The following is a 20,953-nucleotide window of genomic DNA, read 5'->3' as shown; positions in this document are numbered from 1 at the left end:
TAGTAGAGATGGGGTTTCGCCATGTTGGCCAGGCTGGTTTCGAACTCCTGACCTCAGGTGATCCACCCGCCTCGGCCTCCCAAAGTGCTGGGATTACAGGTGTGAGCCGCCCTGCCCGGCCTAAAAATTTTTTAAAATTAAAAAAAAATTGTCTTCTAACTGGATAGGATTTAATTTGTGTCCTGAAACCAGACACACTACAAAGGAAACCATTAACATAGTGAGTCCTAAGAATGTTTGACTTTGAAGATTTTCATTTCAAGGCTCAAGCAGAAAATATGAAACAAAAGTCAGCTGGTTGAACTGAAGAAGCTGCTCCTGGCTGGAGATACGTGGCCTTAGGACTTCAGCCTGAGGCATCCGTGTCTTAACCCATCTGCCGTTCACCAGTTGGCAAGCTGCAAGTTAATATAATTAACTGGAAGAAGACTAAACATTTCATTATTATCATAATGAGTACAACAACGGATTCAATGAACTTCAACTTCTGTATCATGTTACAATTTGGGGAAAATAAACTTGGAAATTTTCTTTCTTTTTTTTTTTTTTTTTTTTGAGACGGAGTCTTGCTCTGCCACCCAGGCTGGAGTGCAGTGGTGCGATCTCAGCTCACTGCAACCTCCGTCTCCTGGGTTCAAGCAATTCTCCTGCCTCAGCCTCCCAAGTAGCTGGGATTACAGGTGCCCACCACCATGCCCGGCTAATTTTTTTGTATTTTTAGTAGAGACAAGGGTTCACTGTGTTGGCCAAGTTGGTCTCGAACTTCTGACCTCAGGTGATCCACCCGCCTTGGCCTCCCAAAGTACTGGGATTACAGGCATGAGCCACCGCACCCGGCCTTTATTTCTTAATGTGATCATCTGTGAGTATTTTAAAACAAACTAACGGTATACACAAAACAAAAGTGTTTCATTTATAATGTGAATAAAGTTGCTTCTTGCCTCTGGTTCTGTTTAATTCTACAGAAGACATACTGGCAATGTTTGGTCTGATTTTTCTTTTAAGACGGAGTCTCACTTTGTTGCCCAGGCTGTAGTGCAGTGGCGCAATCTTGGCTCACTGATACCTCTGCTTCCCGGGTTCTCCTGCCTCAGCCTCCCGTGTAGCTGGGATTACAGGTGCCCGCCACCACACCCAGCTAATTTTTTGTATTTTTGGTAGAGATGGGATTTCATGTTGGCCAGGCTGGTTTTGAACTCTCAACCTCAGGTGACCCGCCTGCCTCGGCCTCCCAAAGTGCTGGGATTCCAGGTGTGAGCCACCGTGCCTGGCCTATATCAGTTCTCATCCCATGAAATAGTTCCCCTTAATCACAGACTAAAAAACTATATATTTTTTCACTTCTATTGAAGTCTTAGATGGATTTCCTGATAGAGAATGTAAAATTTACACTCAATGATCATCACAGAAATAAAATCATTACAATCTTTTAAAATCCTTTTATTCACCTTGAAAGCAATTTTGGATTTCAGACTTTAAAAATAATATTTCCTGGCTGGGGGCAGTGGCTCACGCCTGTAATCCCAGCACTTTGGGAGACCAAGGCGGGCGGATCACCTGAGGCCGGGAGTTCAAGACCAGCCTGACCAACGTGGAGAAACCCCATCTCTACTAAAAATACAAAATTAGGCGGGCATGGTGGTGCATGCCTGTAATCCCAGCTACTCGGGAGGCTGAGGCAGAATTGCTTGAACTCGAGAGGTGGAGGTTGTGGTGAGCTGAGATCGTGCCATTGCACTCCAGCCTGGGTAACAAGAGAGACCCTCCATCTCAAAAAAAATATCTATATATCTATATATCTATATATTATGTTCACTGAAGGTTGCTTTAAGGACGGTGCTAGGCCCACACTGAGAAGAGTATCTGTAACAAAATAGGCATTCAGTAATCTTTTTTTAAGTTAATGAGCAAAAAAATTAAAAATATATGTTTCAACTGGATCATATTTCCCAATGCAAATACCAGGGGCTTCCATGAAAAACTTTTGAGGGCTTTTTTTTTTTTTCTTGAAGGGCAATTTTTTTTCATATAAAGTTTGTATTGAACAAACTTTTACAAAGAACGATTTCGCACTATGGCAGAGTATGTCTGCACATCGCATTTGTATTTGCTCTTTATGATGAAATTATCAAACACATTAATAAGATCTGAAGGTCTAGTTTCCAAGAAAGGAAGATGGTCATGGATGCTGGTGTAAGCCAGGCCTTCTACAAAAATTTGAACAACTGCCTGATCCCTTGAGTTGTGAAAGGTATTTTAAAATTAGTATTGCATAGTAAAAATTATGTTAATTATTGTTGTTTTCAGTGTTAATTATGGGCTTACTAATTGCATAAATAATGACTTCCTTAATGTTTTATTTCAAAGTAGAGTTTAGGATGCTAAACATATGTTTATTGTTTGCAAATATCTATGTGCTGGCATTTATGTGAGCCAAGCAGTCTGATTGGGCCAAACCCTGGGAAATGTAAATATATTTATTCTTATTTTACTATTTGGCACAGCCTGTTGTCTCCCAATAACTGTAATAATGTCTGCTATTGAATCGTGGCAGACACCATCCAGTGTTTCTCGGAATACAGGCAGCCCTCCTACACTCTGCATCAGAGCCCCTCCCGCAGGGGATGCTTGTTAAAGGATGGATTCGCAGGACCCGCCGCTGAATCAGAACTTAAGTTTAAAAAAGGCTGCACCTTCACGGGTGCTCGCTCTGTCCTACCAGTGAGCTTCCCTTTAGTTTCGCGTTTCCACAGGAAACAGGACATAGATCTAAAATTGCCTTTGCACTTGGACTGGTTTCCTTTGCTGACCTAATACAGAATAGCTTTTTGTGCTGTGACTGCGAGTGTGTTGAACAGATCCTCTGTATTTTAGGAGAAGAAATTTGGTGCCTCGTTGCTCACCATCACCACTGGCCCTGGTAGCTCTGCGGATAAACCAGCTTGGATTTCACCCTTGAGGATTAACATTGCAACACTGCATAGGCACATAAAGCCACCTGAAAGTCAAGATGAGGCAGGTAATGTGCGCACTGGGATCTCGTGTGGTTGGTGTCTTGTCTTTTGCCATTTGTCGGGTACAGCAGCTGCAGTTGCTGAAGCAGGTGAGTAACTTTCAAGAGCCGAACCAACTGCAAGAAGCTCTCCTGGAAAGGGGCATGAAGGCTGCTGACCCTCCTCCTGCCCCTCCGCCGACCAACTCCACACCTGGGATTAGAGGGGAGGAAACCTTTATCCCATATTCTCTTATGTTCTATTGCTGGGGACCTGCAAATTAAACTGACAGAACACAGATTAACAAGAGAAAAAGGATACAAATTTTACGGATGTTAATGTTTTATGGGTACAGGAGCTTCACAAAAAGAAGTAGAAAACTCCAATAAGTGTTTAGACTTGAGAAATTATATACTATTTGAGCAAAGGGTGATAGGTTATAGAGAAGTGACTGAATAAAGAAAAGAATGTTTGGGCTTCCGGGGTAATAAACTGTAAGAAAGTGTTTAGGAATATATGGGAGAAATTAATGGACGAGAACAGTTATCTCTCTTCCATTTGTTTGTTTATGTAGACTCTTCTCAATGCAACTCCTGTCACTGGTGATAAGAGTCACTCTCTTTCTTCTGGGTACAGAGGGGCATCTTCCTCAAAGCAAAATTTAGGTCCTGCATTTAGGCAGATAAGGGAGGACAGAGAACTTTTACTGCATCTGTTGTTTCTTCATTGTCTATAGCTCAAATTATTCTTTTGCCGAGGTAGCATATTTTGGGGGTGGCATGTTGTGATCCTCTTTAGGATCATCAGCACCTCCAGCTAGGGTGAGGCTGGACAGGAGCTGGCACAAAGGAGGCTTTCAGGCAGTTTCCTTGAGTTCTAACCGCAACCCCTGCAGAACAATTGGCCTGTGGCCTGCTGTCCCCACTATGCCTGAATTGCTGTGGACTAATTTATGAGTAGCCCTCTGAACCCAGAGGAAGCTCGAGGAGCAGAATTGACATACCCATCAGCTAGAATCGCTGTAGGAAGACAGAATCAGTGAACATAAAGTATCCAAGTTCGAACAACTGAAAATGAAATCATAATTAATTTTTAAAAGAGTTTTGTGAAATATGTGGATAAAGCATACTTTCCGATGAGCCTAATACTATGAATGATAAATTATAAATGGGAGTCCTATTTCAAATCTAAGCAAGGATGGCTGGGCGCAGTGACTCATGCCTGTAATCCCAGCACTTTGGGATGCCGAGGCGGGTGGATCACTTGAGGCTAGCAGTTCAAGACCAGCCTGGTCAACATGGTGAAACCCCATCTCTACTAAAAATACATAAATTAGCTGGGCATGGTGGCAGGTGCCTGTAATCCCAGCTACTCAGGAGGCTGAGGCAGGAGAATCACTTGAACCCGGGAGGTGGAGGTTGCAGTGAGCTGAGATCGTGCCACTGCACTCCAGCCTGGGTGACAGAGTGAGACTCCATCTCAAAAAGAAAAAAAAAAAAAATCCAAGCGGACTTAGACTCACAGAAATCATTATGTTCCACGAGAGGGCAGTATAGTAACTCGTTTATAAAACAGTAGGCTCGGAAGAGCAGAGGAAAACATTTGTGAACAGTTTTAAAATTTGTGATGAGCACCGGGCGCGGTGGCTCACACCTGTAATCTCAGCACCCTGGGAGGCCGAGGCGGGAGGATCACCTGAGGTTGGGAGTTTGAGACCAGCCTGACCAACGTGGTGAAACACCGTCTCTGCTAAAAATACAAAAAAATTAGCCGGGCTTGGTGGCGCATGCCTGTAATCCCAGCTACTGGGGAGACTGAGGCAGGAGAATTGCTTGAACCCCAGAGGCGGAGGTTGCAGTGAGCGGAGATCGCGCCACTGCACTCCAGCCTGGGCAACAAGAGCAATACTCCGTCTCAAAAAACAAACAAACAAACAAACAAACAAAAGATTGTGATGAGAACCTGTTTGAGCAGAAACAAAATCAAATCGCATTTTTACCATAAAGTGTTTGTCTCTATGACATGATGACTACTCAGGAAGATTGGTTTTTTCAAGTAGGAATGACATACTTTTGAAAAAGTAAGTTGCTTGACTTGGAATTAAATGGAATTGCTTTCGTTCGTTGCTATGTTGCTCGGTTGCTATGTGGTCTAGTAGAAGCTACAAACAAAATCCAGGAGATCACATTTCCTCTGCCTCAGCCCCTGGAAAAGCTTTATATGCCTGAGTCCTCACCTCCAGTTGTGCCTGGAGCTACGAAGTTTGCGGGAGAGTTTAAATTGGGAAAGATAGTAATCCTTACAGCCAGCTTTATCTGAACTCTGAGTACCAGGCTGGGCGCTTTACATGGATTATTTCTTTCAGCCCCATGATAGCTCTATGAGTTAGGAACTATTATTATCTTCATTAAACCAAGGCCCATAGAGGACTGAGTGTTTGCCCGTGGGACACGCACGGCTCATCGATGGCAGATGCAAAGTCGGGATTCAAACCGGGCAGATCAAATCTAGATCCCAAGTTTGAGCTATTTCTAGGCAATTGGTGGCAAAGACAGAACTAGAACCCATATCTCTTTGTTACAAATTAAAGAGTGACTTTAATATTGAAAACGATGTGTATGGCGGGACTGGGTAGAAGAAACCTTTGGAAGACGGCTGATGGGACAGACGCAAAGTGACTGTGTTTGCAAAAAGACAGGTTCATGCCAAGAAACGAGAACATTCCAGGCTGAGCTGGGATGCCCCATTTATGCCAATTATGCAGTGTCAGAGTGGCCAAGACCAGAGGGATTTCCCCATTGCCTTCTCAAACTCCAAAGAGCTCTGAGATCCACAAGCTGGTGGGGTTCCCAGGAGAAGCCTGCAGAAGGTGCTTCCTCCTCCAGGCCACAGAAGAGGACAGAGAGAAGTTCCCCTAAATCCCCAGAGCCCTTAGTCAAGTTCATCCCAAAACTATCCGAATAATCATCACTGCTATCCCTTGAGAATTCAAATGCCAGGCCCTGTGCTAAGCATTTTACTTGTGTTAGCTCATTTAGTCCTCATAGCAATTCAGTGAGGTGGGGCTTATGTTCACTATCTGGGAATTTCACAGGCTGGCCCCTCTCACAGGAGTTTCATCATGTAAGGCCTGCGTACATATATGCATGAGAAAGCATGTCTTGCACACGAATTGGTTTTCCTAAACCCTCCCTCATCTTTGAGCAATGCAGCCAACTTTGTTTTTAAAGTGCAGCCCACTTCTGAGTAAGCATGGCAGATTGCTCACTTCCCCCTTCCAAAACTCCACTGAAATGGCAATAAAGGAATCAAGAATATATAAACTCATAAGGAGATAAAATGAGGGAAGAGATGAACATGGATGAGAGAGTCCCACAAATATCTGGAAAAGGGAGAGGAGCAGGAGCTGACATGGCAGAGCTGGGGATCACTACCTGGCTCCCTGCAGATGAGGAAACTAATAAGCAGAAGCGGGGTGGTCTTGTAGAACTCTAGGTGCTGAGGACGGGGAGATCCAAATCTACAGAAGGTGGACATGAGGCATGGGACTAAAAACAGGGGGGCTACGTGGCCTGTATAGGGGGAGGATGGACCCCCTTCCTCCTCCTACAGCAGGTGCACCCCAGCTCTCTCCTACACCCATTGCTTGCCTCCCCACCCCCACTGCCAGTAGGAGATTTGACACATTGTCTCTGGATAACTGAATGGCTCCAGAGAAAAGACCTCCACATTCTGACATCTTGGAGTCCTGCCCCAATTTGAAAGCCAGTTTGGGCTGGGCGCAGTGGCTCACCCCTGTAATCCCAGCACTTTGGGAGGCCAAGGCAGGTGGATCACCTGAGGTCAGCTTTACCAACCAGCTTTACCAACATGGTGAAGCCCCATTTCTACCAAAAAAAAAAAAAAAAGAACCAAAATTAGCCAGGCCTGGTGGCACCTGCTTGTAATCCCAGCTACTCAGGAGGCTGAGGCAGGAGAATCACTTCAACCGGGGAGGCAGAGGTTGCAGTGAGCCGAGATTGCACCATTGCATTCCAGCCTGGGCAACAAGAGCAAAATCCCATAAAAAGAAAGAAAGAAAGAATGAAAGAAAGAAAGAAGGAAGGAAGGAGAAAGAGAGAAAGAAAAGAAAGAAGAAAGAAGGAAGGAAAGAAAGAAAGAAAAAGAAAAGAAAGAAGCCAGTTTGCTATCCAATGACCTTGTTGTAAGTCCTTCTATGGACAAGCCTCACCCACTCACTCAGAGTTCCCACTCCTGTGTTTAGTGAGTCACACTTAGACAAGAACAGGCAGCCCAGGATCACCTAATGTTTAAAGACAGCCTCCAGCTTGGAAGAGACGGATCCAGACAAATAGGATAAAGGAATTTGGAGAAAGCAGAGACGATGGAAGGAGTAGAAAAAAAATGAAAAAAAAATCTGATAATTTCTTCAGAAAAGTAAAGTAAGATGTTATATCCATTAAACAAGAGTTAGATGCTTTATTCTCTATTTTGGATGTTACTTTTAAAGGAATTAATGAAAAAACAAAAATGAAATTTTGGAAATTGTTCAAAAGAAGAGTAAGAATAAAATATTTAAAAGCAAGTTTGGTGGAAGATAAAGTAGAACAAAAATAAACAGAGATTTAAAAATAATAATAATTGAAAAAATATAAGAATGAGGACCACTCTAGGAAGTCCAATTTCCAGCTAATAGAAATTCTATAAAGAGAAAATAGAGGAGAGAGAGTGAGAGTAAAAATAATACCACTTCACAAAATTGAAAGATGTGAGTCTCCAGATTGAGAGGCCCAACTAAATGCCCACCCCAAGGTGCATCATCACAAATTTCAGAATACCCAGAATAAAGAATAGACTTCTAAAGCTCCCTGAGAGAGAAAAACATACGAAAGATCAGGTATCAGCCTTGGACTTCTAAATAGCCACACTGAAAGAAAACAATGCCTTCAAGCTTCTGTGTGAAAATGATTTTCAGCTGAGAATACTTGTAACCAGATGATCAATGAAATAGGAAGGTGGAATAAAAGCATCTCAGACATGCAAGGAGTCAAATTTTACCTCACATGTATGTCCTCTCTTAAGTGGCTACTGCAGGATGTGCACCCACAAAATGAGAAAGTAAACTAAAAAAAATAATGTGGAACTAGAAGTCATGGGATTCAATGCTGAACAGCATTGAAGAGAAATGCCAGGATGATAGTGGATAGAGAGCTACCAGTCCAGAGGGGAGCAGGATGGCAGGCACCAGGAGTGAGGCACCCAAGGAATCAAAGAAAATGACACATTTGAGGATACGGAAAATAGTATCCAGAAACATGAAAGCACTTGGGGAAAAAATGAGCAATTGCCACATAGAATAATAGGCAAATGACAAACAAAAAGTAATGATAAATTCCAGGAATAAATGAAGAGTATGGCTCATGCAAAGGGCCTAAAGTAGAAGTGAGCCTAATGCATTCAGGGACTAACAAGAAGAGTGGGGCTGCGGCAGAACTGGAGAGGGGCAGGAGACTAGGCAGTGAGGTCAGAGAGACAAGAAGGGTCAGGACATTGTGAGGACTCGGGCATTGACTGTAAGCAAGATGGGAGCTGCTGCAGTGTTTTGTGCCGAAGAGTGACATGATCTGACTTACATGTTGGCAGAATAATTCTGCCTATGTGTTGAGAATAAATGGTAGGAGGGACTAGGTGGAAGTAGGATGCTATTGCAGTCAGAAGGCCACTGCAGTGATCCAGGGGAAAGACCATACTGATGGCCCCATTGGATGATGGTGGCTTGGACCAGGGTGGAAGCATTGGAGGTGGTGAGAAGTGATTGGATTCTGGATATTTTGAAGGCAGAGCCAAATATTCCTTGACATACAGAATGCGAGGTATGAAAGAAAGAGAGAAATCAAAGATGGCCTGAGCAGCTGGAGGGATGAAGCTGCAGTCAAATGAGATGAGGAGACCACAGTTGGAACAATGTTCCCATCACCTGTTACTGAACCAACGTCAATTTACAGACATAAAACAACAATCATTGATTATTATCAGCTCTGGTGACCCTGGCAGTTGACTGGGCTCAGATAGGCAGGTCTCACTCGGTGGTTGGGGCTAGAGTCATCTCAAAGGCCTCCTCGCTCACATGTCTGGTGCGTCTACTAGAAGACACTTAGAGCTCAAGGATGGACTAGGAGGGGCTCCTTGGGCCTCTCTCTACGTGGTCTCTGCACATGATCTCTCCAGCATGGTGGCTGGTGGCTTCCTGCATGGTAGTCCAGGGCTCCAAAGGCTCAGGTCCTAAAATGAGAGGGAAGTTGTATCGTGCTGTGAGACCTGCGTCAGAAGCAACACAGCGTCACTTCAGCGGCACTGTGTTCCTTAGAGTTCAGCCACCATGTGCAAGGCGGGAGGGAATCAGATTCCCTGTCTTGATGAGAGGAGAGTCCGAGAATCTGCAGATATGTTTTAAAACCACCTCTGCAGGTTTTGGGGAGACCGTAAGAGTTGAGGAACATTTTGAGTTGAATATTATTTGCATAGTGATTAAAATAAAAACACTATCAATTTAACCAAAGTTGTGATATGACCACATTGTGGGAGGACTGAGCAGAGGAAGTGATGGGGTCACAGTGGGACAGGGCCCAGTTCCCAGCCCCCACAGTGGGAAATCAATGGGCACCTACAAAGAAAGGATCAAGAAAGAAGAGTAGGACAATGTCAGAAATCTGGGGAGAAATACAAAGCGAAATACATAGAAGAGATAAGGATGGTTCCTTCCCAGGAGTAAGACGGGGTGAGCGGGATGGTGGGGGAAGGGGGTTAGTGTTTTTCTTTCTTTCTTCTTTCTTGCTTTCTTTTCTTTCTTTCTCTCTTTCTTTCTCTCTCCTTCCTTCCTTCCTTCTTTCTTTCTTTTTTATTTCTTTCTCTTTCTTCTTTCTTTCTTTCTTTCCTTTCTCTCTTTCTCTCTCCTTCCTTCTTTCTTTCTTTTTTCTCTTTCTTTTCTTTCTTTGTTCTTTCTCTCTCTTTTTCTTTCTCTTTCTTTCTTTTCTTTCTTTCTTTCTCTCTCTCTTTCTTCCCTCCCTGCCTCCCTCCCTCTCTCTCTCTCTCTTTCTTTCTTTCTCTTCTTTTTTTTTTGACAGAGTCTCGCTCTGTTGCCCAGGCTGGAATGCAGTGGCACGACCTAGGCTCACTGCAACCTCCGTCTCCCAGGTTCAAGCTATTTTCCTGCCTCAGCCTCCCGAGTAGCTGGGACTACAGGCACCCCCCACCACGCTCAGCTAATTTTTGTATTTTTAGTAGACGTGGGGGTTTCACCATATTGGCCAGGCTGGTCTCGAACTCCTGACCTTGTGATCCGCCCGCCTTGGCCTCCCAAAGTGCTGGGATTACAGGCATCAGCCACCGCACCCAGCCAGTGTTTTTCAATATGGCTTTTAGTACCATTTGACTTTTTTTTTTTTTTTGAGACGGGGTCTCACTCTGTTGCCCAGGCTGGAGTGCAGTAGTGCAATCTCAGCTCTCTGCAACTTCCACCTCCAGGGTTCAAGCGATTGTCATGCCTCCGTCTCCTGAGTAGCTGGGACCACAGGCCCACGCCACCACGCCCGGCTAATTTTTGTGTTTTCAGTAGAGATGGTGTTTCACCCTGCTGGCCAGGCTGGTCTCCAACTCCTGACCTCAGGTGATCCTCCCCTCTCAGCTTCCCAAAGTGCTGGGATTACAGGCATGAGCCACTGTCCCTGGCCTCCATTTGACTTTTTAATTTGTGTACATGTATTACTTGGTAAAATAACTGTTTTAAAAGGATGTAAATTTCATTTCTATAAAATTGATGTTAAAAATGATAGAATAGTGCTCACTTCAGCAGCACATATGCTAGAATTGGAATGATGCCGAGATTAGCACAGCCCCTGAGCAAAGGTGATACGTGAATTCATGAAGTGTTCCATATATCTTTTATGTAAAAAAAAAAAGTTTTTTTTAACTCAAAATTTTTAAAAATGAGAGAAAAAAAATGCCCCCAGTCTGGGCAACATAGTGAGATCCCATCTCTAAAAAATAAAAATTAGGCCGGGCGCCGGGGCTCACGCCTGTAATCCCGGCACTTTGGGAGGCCGAGGCGGGTGGATCACGAGGTCAGGAGATCGAGACCATCCTGGCCAACACAGTGGAACCCCATCTCTAGTGAAAAAAAATACAAAAAATTAGCCGGGTGTGGTGGGGGGGTGCCTGTAGTCCCAGCTACTCAGGAGGCTGAGGCAGGAGAATGGCGTGAACCCGGGAGGCATAGCTTGCAGTGAGACTGTGCCACTGCACTCCAGCCTGGGTGACAGAGCGAGACTCTGTCTCAAAATAAATAAATAAATAAATAAAAATAAATAATTTGCTGGGCATGGTGGTGAGCATCTGTAATCCCAGCTACTCTGGAGGCTACAGTGAGAGGATTGCTTGAGACCAGGAGTTCGAGGCTGCAGTGAGCTGTGATTGAACCACTGCTCTCCAGTCTGGGCTACAGAACTAGACCTTGTCTGTTAAAAAATAAAAATTAAGGCCAGGCGTGGTGGCTCACGCCTGTAATCCCAGCACTTTGGGAGGCCGAGGCAGGTGGATTATCTGAGGTCAGGAGCTGAAGACCAGCCTATCCAACATGGTGACACCCCATCTCTACTAAAAATACAAAAAAATTAGCCGGGTTTGGTCGTGGGTGCCTGTAATCCCAGCTACTTGGGAGACCGAGGCAGGAGAATCACTTGAACCCGGGAGGCGGAGGTTGCAGTGAGCCTAGGTTGTGCCATTGCACTCCAGCCTGGGTGACATGAGCAAAACTCCATCTCAAAAAAAAAAAAAAAACCCACAAAAATTTAAAAAGTTAAAAAATAAAAAATAGCCCCATCCCTATAGCAAACGCAATTTTTGTGTGTCTGTGTGTGTGACGGAGTTTTGCTCTTGTCACCCAGGCTGTAGTGCAATGGCGCGATCTCACCTCACTGCAACCTCTGCCTTCTGGGTTCAAGAGATTCTCCTGCCTCAGCCTCCTGAGTAGCTGGGATTATAGGCATGTGCCACCACGCCCGGCTAATTTTTTTGCATTTTTAGTCAAGACGGGGTTTCACCATGTTGGCCAGGCTGGTCTCAAACTCCTGACCTCAGGTGAGCCACCGCCTCGGCCTCCCAAAGTGCTGGGATTACAGGCGTGAGCCAACGCGCCCGGCCTGGCAAGTACAATTTTAGGAAATACTCCAGCCCAGTCCCCTTTCCCCTCTGTGCCTTCTCCTTGGTGTCTCTGGCTCCAAAGAGTGCTCGGATTCACACGATCAGTTCACCTTGTGGATCTCCCACCAAGGACCACTGCAGCTCCCCGAGTCTCAGGTGCTCAGTAACCCCCTCCCCGATCCTCCCGGTCTCATGCCCATTGCAAAGGAGCAAACTGGCTCTGTGAGTTCCCGTGTTCATCAAAAGTGGAGTGCAGACTACAAGCCAGACCTCCTGGCTTAGGTTTAATGGTGTCTCCAGGATAAAAATGGTGGTTGCTGTCACTGTAGATGATCCGGCAGGTGGCATGGGGGACAGATGAGGGGGGCAACGTTCCTGGAAGGGAAGTCCATCCCTCTAAATTAAGTGTGTTAATTTTCCCGAATAAAGATACGCCTATCATGAAATCCATTGCCTGGAAAAGATACTTGATACAGCAACTGTGATGGCCCCTGGCTGAAAATACTCCATTTCCCCTTAGTCACCCTTCTCAGGTCAGGGTAAGCCTGCTGGCTAAAGCAACAGAAAGAAGCAAACAGATCTGTGGAATGAAATTCCTTGGCTAACAGGAAAACTGCAGTGAGGGGAGTAGGGGGCAGGGGACAAGGTTCTGAGCAGAACTTCGGGTTTTTCTCTTGCCCTTGGTGTGGTGGGGGTGGGGGACATGAATCTGGGATGTGGAGAATCAGTCCGGAGTAGGGGGTGGGCCTGATAGAGCAGATGAGAAACTCAGCCCGGGAGGCAACGTTATTGTCATCATTGTTAACCCTCTGCAGACCAGAAACCACCAGGACAGCCAACTAACGCTGATTATTATTATATTCATAATAACGCTTGTGTTTTGTCAAAGCCCTTATTCGAGTGCTGTAAGTGGCCTGGAAGGTGATGTTCCCCAAATTTGCCAACATGCAATGCAATGGTAACCATGATGGTTGGAGTGGTTTTCACAGGTGGGCAAAACAACTCTGCCATGGTCAGGTGAACAGAACCCCTGAGACCTGGGATGGCAGAGGGGACAGACATGAACAGAATCCGTCTCTGCCCTGAGGCTGCTCACGTCGAACCCACAGCCCAGAGTGGCCGAGGTGCCTGTATTTTCCTCAGCAGCAGGAGCCGTGGTTTGCGCTGTGGCTCTGCCACGTGCCGCGTGGTTAATCCAGTTTGCTTCACTGCACCAGGGTGGAATCTGAGTGTCTTAATAACTGAAAGGTGCTGCCCTGTTGAACATTCTGTGGGTTCCAAAGCGAGTGGAGCGGGAGGCATGGTTGGCTTCTTCCTCGCTGGCCTCGTTTTTTGACAAACAACGGCAGGTTCCCCGCGGGGTCTCTGGCCCAGCTTCTCAGCACGTCTCTGTTCTAACTGAATTTGATTTTCTTTTTTTTTTTCAGTCTCGTGCTAGTGACGGAGGGGAATGAGACTGTGATCTCCCTCATGACACTAATTAATATCCTTCATCCAAGGTGGTGACACTGTACTTTGGGGCTGAAGTCTGAAACTTAACCAATGGCAGTTCTGGTCCAGCCTGGAGATGCTAAGTGACAGCTTGTTACCTTCAGCTTCATTTATTAACATCAGCTGAATAAACAAATCCCGGTAGGAGCAGAGCCCCGCTGCCCAGGAACCCCTCCCACTGGTTCTCAAAACTCTCTGGTGATTGGAATTGAAGCCATCTTGAGTAAGAAGGTCCCACTGGAAAGAAATTCAATGGCACCTGATTAATTCTGAAAGTAAGCACTTAACCTTGAGGAGCTTGGGCTGAACCACTCATTCTTTCATTCCATTCCTCCTGTATTTACTTGGCACCAAACAACCTGTCGACTCCACAGTACAAGCCATCCATTAAGAAATACTGATGGAGGCCAGGTGCGGCGGTTCACGCCTATAATCCTAGCACTTTGGGAGGCCAAGGCGGGCGGATCACGAGGTCAGGAGATTGAGAGCATCCTGGCTAACAGGTGAAACCCTGTCTCTACTAAAAATACAAAAAAGTTAGCTGGGCGTGGTGGCGGGCACCTGTAGTCCCAGCTACTTGGGAGGCTGAGGCAGGAGAATGGTGTGAACCCGGGAGGCGGAGCTTGCCGATCTCAGTGAGCTGAGATCGCACCACTGCACTCCAGCCTGGTCGACAGAGTGAGACTCCGTCTCAAAAAAAAAAAAAAAAAAAAAAAGTACTGCTGGAGCACCTGCTAGATCCAGTAGGGAAGCAGGCGCATGCTCTGCCCTCAGGGAGCTTATAGTCTAGTGATAAAACAGGAGCTGTGAGTGACAGGATGAAGTTCACGGTGCCCCGGGAACAGAGATGATGGTGGGATGTTGATGAAGCCTCACCAAGGAAATGGTGTTTAGACAATGAGACAATGTAGCTGACCTAAGAAACCAGGTCTGCTCATTTCTGCTGCCAGCGTAATTTCACAAAGCCCCTCGTTCTGTTACCACATACAGCTCTTCGAAAAGAAGCTGTGAAGGCAAAAGAGGACAGAGCACACGGCCAGGGGAGGTGGTCCCCAGTGCTCCGCTAAGAAACTGCTTATCCCAAGGACAACAGGAATCCAGTCACTGGAGGTGGTGACATGATCAGATGTGCATTTTAAGATCATTCTAGTTCCAATATGGACAATGGATTAGAGAAGGACAAGAGTGAGGCCTGGAAACCAGTTTTAGGAGGTAGTTGTTCTAATCCAAGTGAGAAGTGACATGAGCTAGGTCAGGTTACAGGCAGAGTGGGTGGAGAGAGCTGGGATAGAGAGATACAGAAATCTTTTATTTATTTATTTTTTTGAGACAGGGTCTCACTTTGTTACCCAGGCTGGAGTGCAATGGGCAATTACAGCTCACTGCAGCCTTGCCCTCCCGGGCTGAAGCAATCCTTCTGCCTCAGCCTCCAGAGTAGCTAGGACTACAGGTGCATACCACTATGCTTGGCTAATTTTTAAACTTTTTATAGAGATGGGGGGGGTCTCACTATGTTGCCCAGGCTGGTCTTGAACTCCTGGACTCAAGCAATCCTCCCAGCTTGGCCTCCCAAATTGCTGAGATTACAGATGTGAGTCACTGTGCCCAGCCCAGAAATCTTTCTAATATAGAAAAAGTTATTGGCTGGGTGTGGTGGCTCACGCCTACAATCCCAACACTTTGGGAGGCTGAGGCAGGCGGATCACTTGAGGTCAGGAGTTTGAGACCAGCTTGGCCAACATGGTGAAACCCCGTCTCTACAGAAAATACAAAAATTAGCTGGGCGTGGTGGTGCACACCTGTAATCCCAGCTACTTGGGAGGCCGAGGCAGGAGAACCGCTTGAAACCAGGAGGAAGAGGCTGAGAGCCGAGATCATGCCACTGCACTCCAGCCTGGGCAATGGGAGTGAGACTCTGACACACACACACATGCGCGCACACACACACACGTTCTTAAAAATCAAGTGAAAAAGCCAGACACAGTGGCTCACGCCTGTAATCCCAGCACTTTGGGAGGCCAAGGCGGGTGGATCACCTGAGGTCGGGAGTTCGAGACCAGCCTGGCCAACATGGAGAAACCCCGTCTCTACCAAAAAAGTACCAAAATTAGCCGGGTGTGGTGGCGCATGCCTGTAATCCCAGCTACTCAGGAGGCTGAGGCAGGAGAATTGCTTGAACCCGGGAGGTGGAGGTTGCGGTGAGCTAAGATCGTGCCATTGCACTCCAGCCTGGGTGACGAGAGCGAAACTTTGTCTTAAAAGAAAAAATCAAGTGAAAAAATAGAAAAATGAATAAAGACAGAAGAGTTCTTAGAACAAGATATACAAGTCTCCTGTAAACATGAAAATATGCTCATCTTCACTCATAAGAGAAATTCACATTTAAACTACACTGAAACCATCTGTCTCCTAAAAATTCAAAAACCTGACAGCACTCGCTGTTGGGGAAAAGCAAGCATTCTCATGTGTCTGGTGAGACTGCAAAACAGAGGAGATTTGGGCAATGTCTAACAAAATATGCATTTACCCTTGAACCCAGCAATCTCAATCCTGGGAACTAACCCTGAAGATCCACCCTCACAAATGCAAAACAGCATACACCCAAGGCTGCTCACCGCAGTCCTGTTTGTAATAGCAAAATACTGGAAAAAAACCCAAGATATCCCTGCCTCGGAGATGGGCTGAACAAGTGATCAGCTAGCACAGTGGAGGGCTATACAGGCATTTTTTTTTTTGAGATGGAGTCTTGCTCTGTTGCCCAGGCTGGAGTGCAATGGTGCTATCTCGGCTCACTGCAACCTTCGCCTCCAGGGTTCAAGCGACTCTCCTGTCTCAGCCTCCCAAGTAGCTGGGATTACAGGCGCACACTGCCACACCCAGCTAATTTTTTGTATTTTAGTAGAGACGGGGTTTCACCGTGTTACCCAGAGTGGTTTCGAACTCCTGAGCTCAGTTAATCCACCCACCTCGGCCTCCCAAAGTGCTAAGATTACAGGCATCATGAGCCACCGTGCCTGGCCTATGCAGGGCTTTTTTAAAGAGGAGGAGGATCAGCCGGGCGCAGTGGCTCACACCTGTAATCCCAGCACTTCCCTGGGAGGCCAAGGCAGGCGGATCATCTGAGGTCAGGAGTTCGAGACCAGCCTGGCCAACATGGTGAAACCCCGTCTCTATCAAAAATACAAAAATTAGCCAGGCGTGGTGGCGGGTGTCTGTGGTCCCAGCTACTTGGGAGGCTGAGGCAGGAGAATCGCTTGAACCTAAGAGGTGGAGGTTGCAGTGAGCTGAGATTGCACCACTGCACTCCAGAGCAAGTCTCCATCTCAAAAAAAGAAAAAGAAAAAGAAAAAAAGGACGAGAAGGATCTCTGTGAAATGATAGATATATACCTGCTTATTGTTGTGGAAGGAAGGTAAAAAGAAAAGGAGGAAGGGAGAAGACAGGCAAGGAGGAGAAAACAGAGACTAAGGGTGGGAACAGATGGAGGAATGGGAATGGGAATATACCTTTTTGTAGAGTTTTGACTTTTGACCTAGGTGAAGTATTTACATAGTCAAAAAAAGAAAATAAAAATGATGGAAACAAACCTTTAATTGAATACAAACAGAATCAAGTCAACCTCATGCATATCAAATTCATAACATGGTTTCCAAGAGAAAATAATTCAAGTAACTTTTATTTCTTTTTTTTTTTTTTTGAAACAGGGTCTCACTCTGTCACTTCGTGTGCTGGAGTGCAGTGGCGTGGTCTTGGCTCACTGCAACCTCCGCCTCCCAGGTCCTGGTTCAAGCAATTCTCCTGCCTCAGCCTCCCTAGTAGCTGGGATTACAGGCATGTACCACCATGCCCGGCTAATTTTTGTATTTTTAGTAGAGACAGGGTTTCGCTATGTTGGCCAGGCTGGTCTTGAACTCCTGGCCTCAAGTGATCCGCCTGCCTCGGCCTCCCAGAGTGCTGGGATTACAGGCGTGAGCCACCGTGCCCAGCCTCAAGTAACTTTTGAATCCAGCACCCTGTGCACCCTTAGGGAATATACCCAAAGGTGGGGAAAGGGGCTGAAGGGAAATCCCAAACCTTACTTGGTGGGTTTGTTGTTGGCAGTGACATCAGTTTAAGAATTCGGAAACTACTGTTTCAGAATTTGGACATTGCGGTACAGAAGAAATCCGTAAGTGTATTGAAATTGTTGGGAATCAGGATGGTTTGAAAAAAGGAAAAATAGGGACTAATGTACAGATGAGGCCTGTGGTGCTGAATTGAAGCTGGAGGTTTCAGTATACTTGCAGGCTCTTCTAAAACATCTTAGCTCTGTTCACTGCAAGGGCCTAGAAGCAGGACACCCAGCAAAACCGGCACACCAAGTCCCTGGACCTTCATTGGGAAATAAAAATTCTCCACCACAAGAGACCAGGATCTGAATAAATGACTGATTCCACAGTTGGGGCAAGGAAAGTAAAAGGTCAGTCTGGAGCGCCTTGTGCCAGAAAGCAAGAATGTGCCCAAAGGCCGGGCACGGTGGCTCACGCCTGTAATCCCAGCACTTTGGGAGGCCGAGGTGGGCAGATCACCTGAGGTCAGGAGTTCAAGACCAGCCTGGCCAACATGGTGAAACCCCGTCTCTACTAAAAATATAAAAATTAGCCAGGCGTGGTGGCTTATGCCTGTAGTTCCAGCTACTCAGGAGGCTGAGGCACGAGAATCGCTTGAACCTGGGAGGTGGAGGTTGTAGTGAGCTGAGATCACGCCACTGCACTCCAGCCTGGGCAACAGAGTGAGACTCTGTCTCAAAAAAGTAAAAGAAAATAAAATGCTCAAAGAACCATGGGAATATGGCAAAAAGACACAAGAGCTGTCTTCTCCCTCTGAACAGTTTGAGCATCAAAAAAAATTATAACAGTAAGCGATTACAACACATTGAATTAAAAAAAAAAATCCATGGGCCTCCAGGAACACTCAAAAACTGAGTTGGAGGGAGGGAAAGACTTTCTTTACAGAAGAATGCCAGCCAGTAAACATCAAAGAAATATATGTTTTTTTTTTTTTTGAGATGGAGTCTCGCTCTGTCGCCCAGGCTGGAGTGCAGTGGCACGATCTCCGCTCACTGCAAGCTCCTCCCGGGTTCACGCCATTCTCCTGCCTCAGCCTCCTGAGTAGCTGGGACTACAGGCGCCCGCCACCACGCCCAGCTAATTTTTTGTATTTTTAGTAGAGACGGGGGTTTCACCGTACTAGCCAGGATGGTCTCGATCCCCTGACCTCGTGATTCGTCTGCCTCGGCCTCCCAAAGTGCTGGGATTACAGGCGTGAGCCACCGCGCCCGGCCAGAAATACAATTTTTTGAGACAGAGTTTCACTCTTGTTGCCCAGGCTGGAGTGCAATGGCTCAATCTCGGCTCACTGCAACCTCAACCAAATTGAGGTAAAACACTCAATTTGGACATCCACAGACTCCCCAAAGTCCTGGGCTATGAACCCTAATGTAGAAGAAGGAGCATAGAGCTTAGGTCACAGCACATAGGAGCAACAAGCCGAGGAGAGGAGGCTCTAATGAACAGAGGAGGGAAAGCAACAGCCAGAGAGGAGGGCAAGCCAGGAAGAGCCTCGGCAGCACAAATGCCACTCAGTCTGCAAACCAGATAAGGACGCTTGCACTGGGAGTGATTAAAACTCAGATCCCCGGCCGGGCGCAGTGGCTCATGCCTGTAATCCCAGCACTTTGGGAGGCCAAGGCAGGCGGATCACTTGAGGTCAGGAGTTCGAGACCAGCCTGACCAACATGGTGAAACCCCGTCTGTACTAAAAATACAAAAATTAGCCTGGCATGGTGGCGGGCGCCTGTACATCCAGCTACACAGGAGGCTGAGGCACGAGAATCGCTTGAACCTGGGAGGTGGAGGTTGCAGTGAGCCAAGATTGTGCCACTGCACTCCAGCCTGGGTGACAGAGTGAGACTCCGTCTCAAAAAAAACAAAAACAAACAAAAAATCAGAACCCTAAAGATCGATTTTATATCCACCTACGTGACAGTAAGAAAGCTGGATCAACTTCAGGAATGAAGGTGGACAGTCAAGACCTACGGTAACACTGTCTGGTGTCTCTCTGGTGCCACCACCCACATCACCTGCCTCTGGTTCAGGGCCCCTTCCCAGCTTGTCATCCCACCTACCTGGACCTTGTCCCTCCAGTGAAGGCTGCCCGGATGCCTCAGAGAGCACAGCCTTCTTAGCTTCATTCTTCCGGAGTGCTTTTCCTTATTTGGTGCTTTCTAGGGAGTAGGCAGGTCAGGTCTTAGGGATTTTTCTTTCTTTCTTTCTTTCTTTTTTGAGACAGGGTCTCACTCTATCTCCAGGCAGTGGCACAACCATCGCTCACTGATGCCTTGACCTCCCAGGCTCAAGCCATCCTCCCGCCTTGGCCTTCCAAGTAATGGGGACTACAAGCATGTGTCACTACACCTGGCTAATTTTAAAACTTTCTGTAGAGACAGAGTCTCACTCTGTTGCCCAGGCTGGTCTCAAACTCCAGAGCTCAAATATTTGTCCTGTCTCGGCCTCCCAAAGTGCTAGGACTACAGGCATGAGCCACCGCGCCCAGCCTAGGAATTTTTAAGGTGTTCTTTCAAAAGACTATGAGGGCTGTTTGGTATCAAAGCAAGTCCAAGAACCAAGAGATAAGAGATCAAAAGCTCTAAAAGCAAACCCAATCCAAGCTTTAAAAGTGAGAGAGATAAGATGGCTCAGAAATAATCATACTGGGTCCATTTATCAGGTGGTTGGGAGAGCACAGCTAACAGAGGGAGAAAAAATAAATCAAGTGGGCCACGTCCACAGGCGTAATCAACTCATCAGAATGAGTTGGTCACCTGTCACCAGCTAGAAAAACCCAAGCCAGAGTTGGTTCTGCTGGACTGGTAAGATGTCCCACCCCAAACTGACCAACTGAATCAGCATTTCTAGTCTTCTGTGCAATTGCCTGCAGTCGTATAGACCCGGTCATGATGGCAGAGAATAAAATCTTCTCTCACACCGGTCTCCAGTTACAGAGTTCTGATCACTGCAACCGGGAAAGCTGAGAACTCTTCATCATCTAGCACATTTGCGAAATTCATTGGCTTTAACAAACTGTTCCCCAAACACCTGGCCTGTGCGGTCTCCTCTCACCAGCATGTGCTCTGTCATATTCAGAAAGTGCTTATAGGCTCTCGCTTGCCTTGAAAAATATCCATCAGCTATCAGAAAAGCTAAAACCCATCGTGGCTCTGGTGAAACGTT

General features: G+C 46.4%; 2 long non-coding RNA genes and 1 pseudogene across 2 annotated transcripts; 2 read left to right on the top strand and 1 right to left on the bottom strand.

The window, feature by feature from the left end:
* Nucleotides 1–771: 771 nt before the first annotated feature.
* Nucleotides 772–13,681, top strand: LOC105371498 (uncharacterized). Its single transcript, XR_001752766.3, has 3 exons — nucleotides 772–862; nucleotides 2,875–3,019; nucleotides 13,619–13,681. It is a non-coding gene; the product is annotated as an uncharacterized LOC105371498 (long non-coding RNA).
* On the top strand, nucleotides 10,830–10,933 carry RNU6-955P (RNA, U6 small nuclear 955, pseudogene; annotated as a pseudogene).
* On the bottom strand, nucleotides 13,035–20,233 carry LINC01996 (long intergenic non-protein coding RNA 1996). The gene is made up of 2 exons (NR_145431.1): nucleotides 19,849–20,233; nucleotides 13,035–13,919 (listed from the first exon to the last, which is right to left on the bottom strand). It is a non-coding gene; the product is annotated as a long intergenic non-protein coding RNA 1996 (long non-coding RNA).
* Between the last annotated feature and the right edge of the window lie 720 nt (nucleotides 20,234–20,953).

The sequence above is a fragment of the Homo sapiens genome, chromosome 17 (genome assembly GCF_000001405.40).
Source record: "Homo sapiens chromosome 17, GRCh38.p14 Primary Assembly".
In the NCBI taxonomy this organism is placed as follows: domain Eukaryota; kingdom Metazoa; phylum Chordata; class Mammalia; order Primates; family Hominidae; genus Homo; species Homo sapiens.
This window is presented reverse-complemented; position numbering and strand designations above follow the sequence as displayed.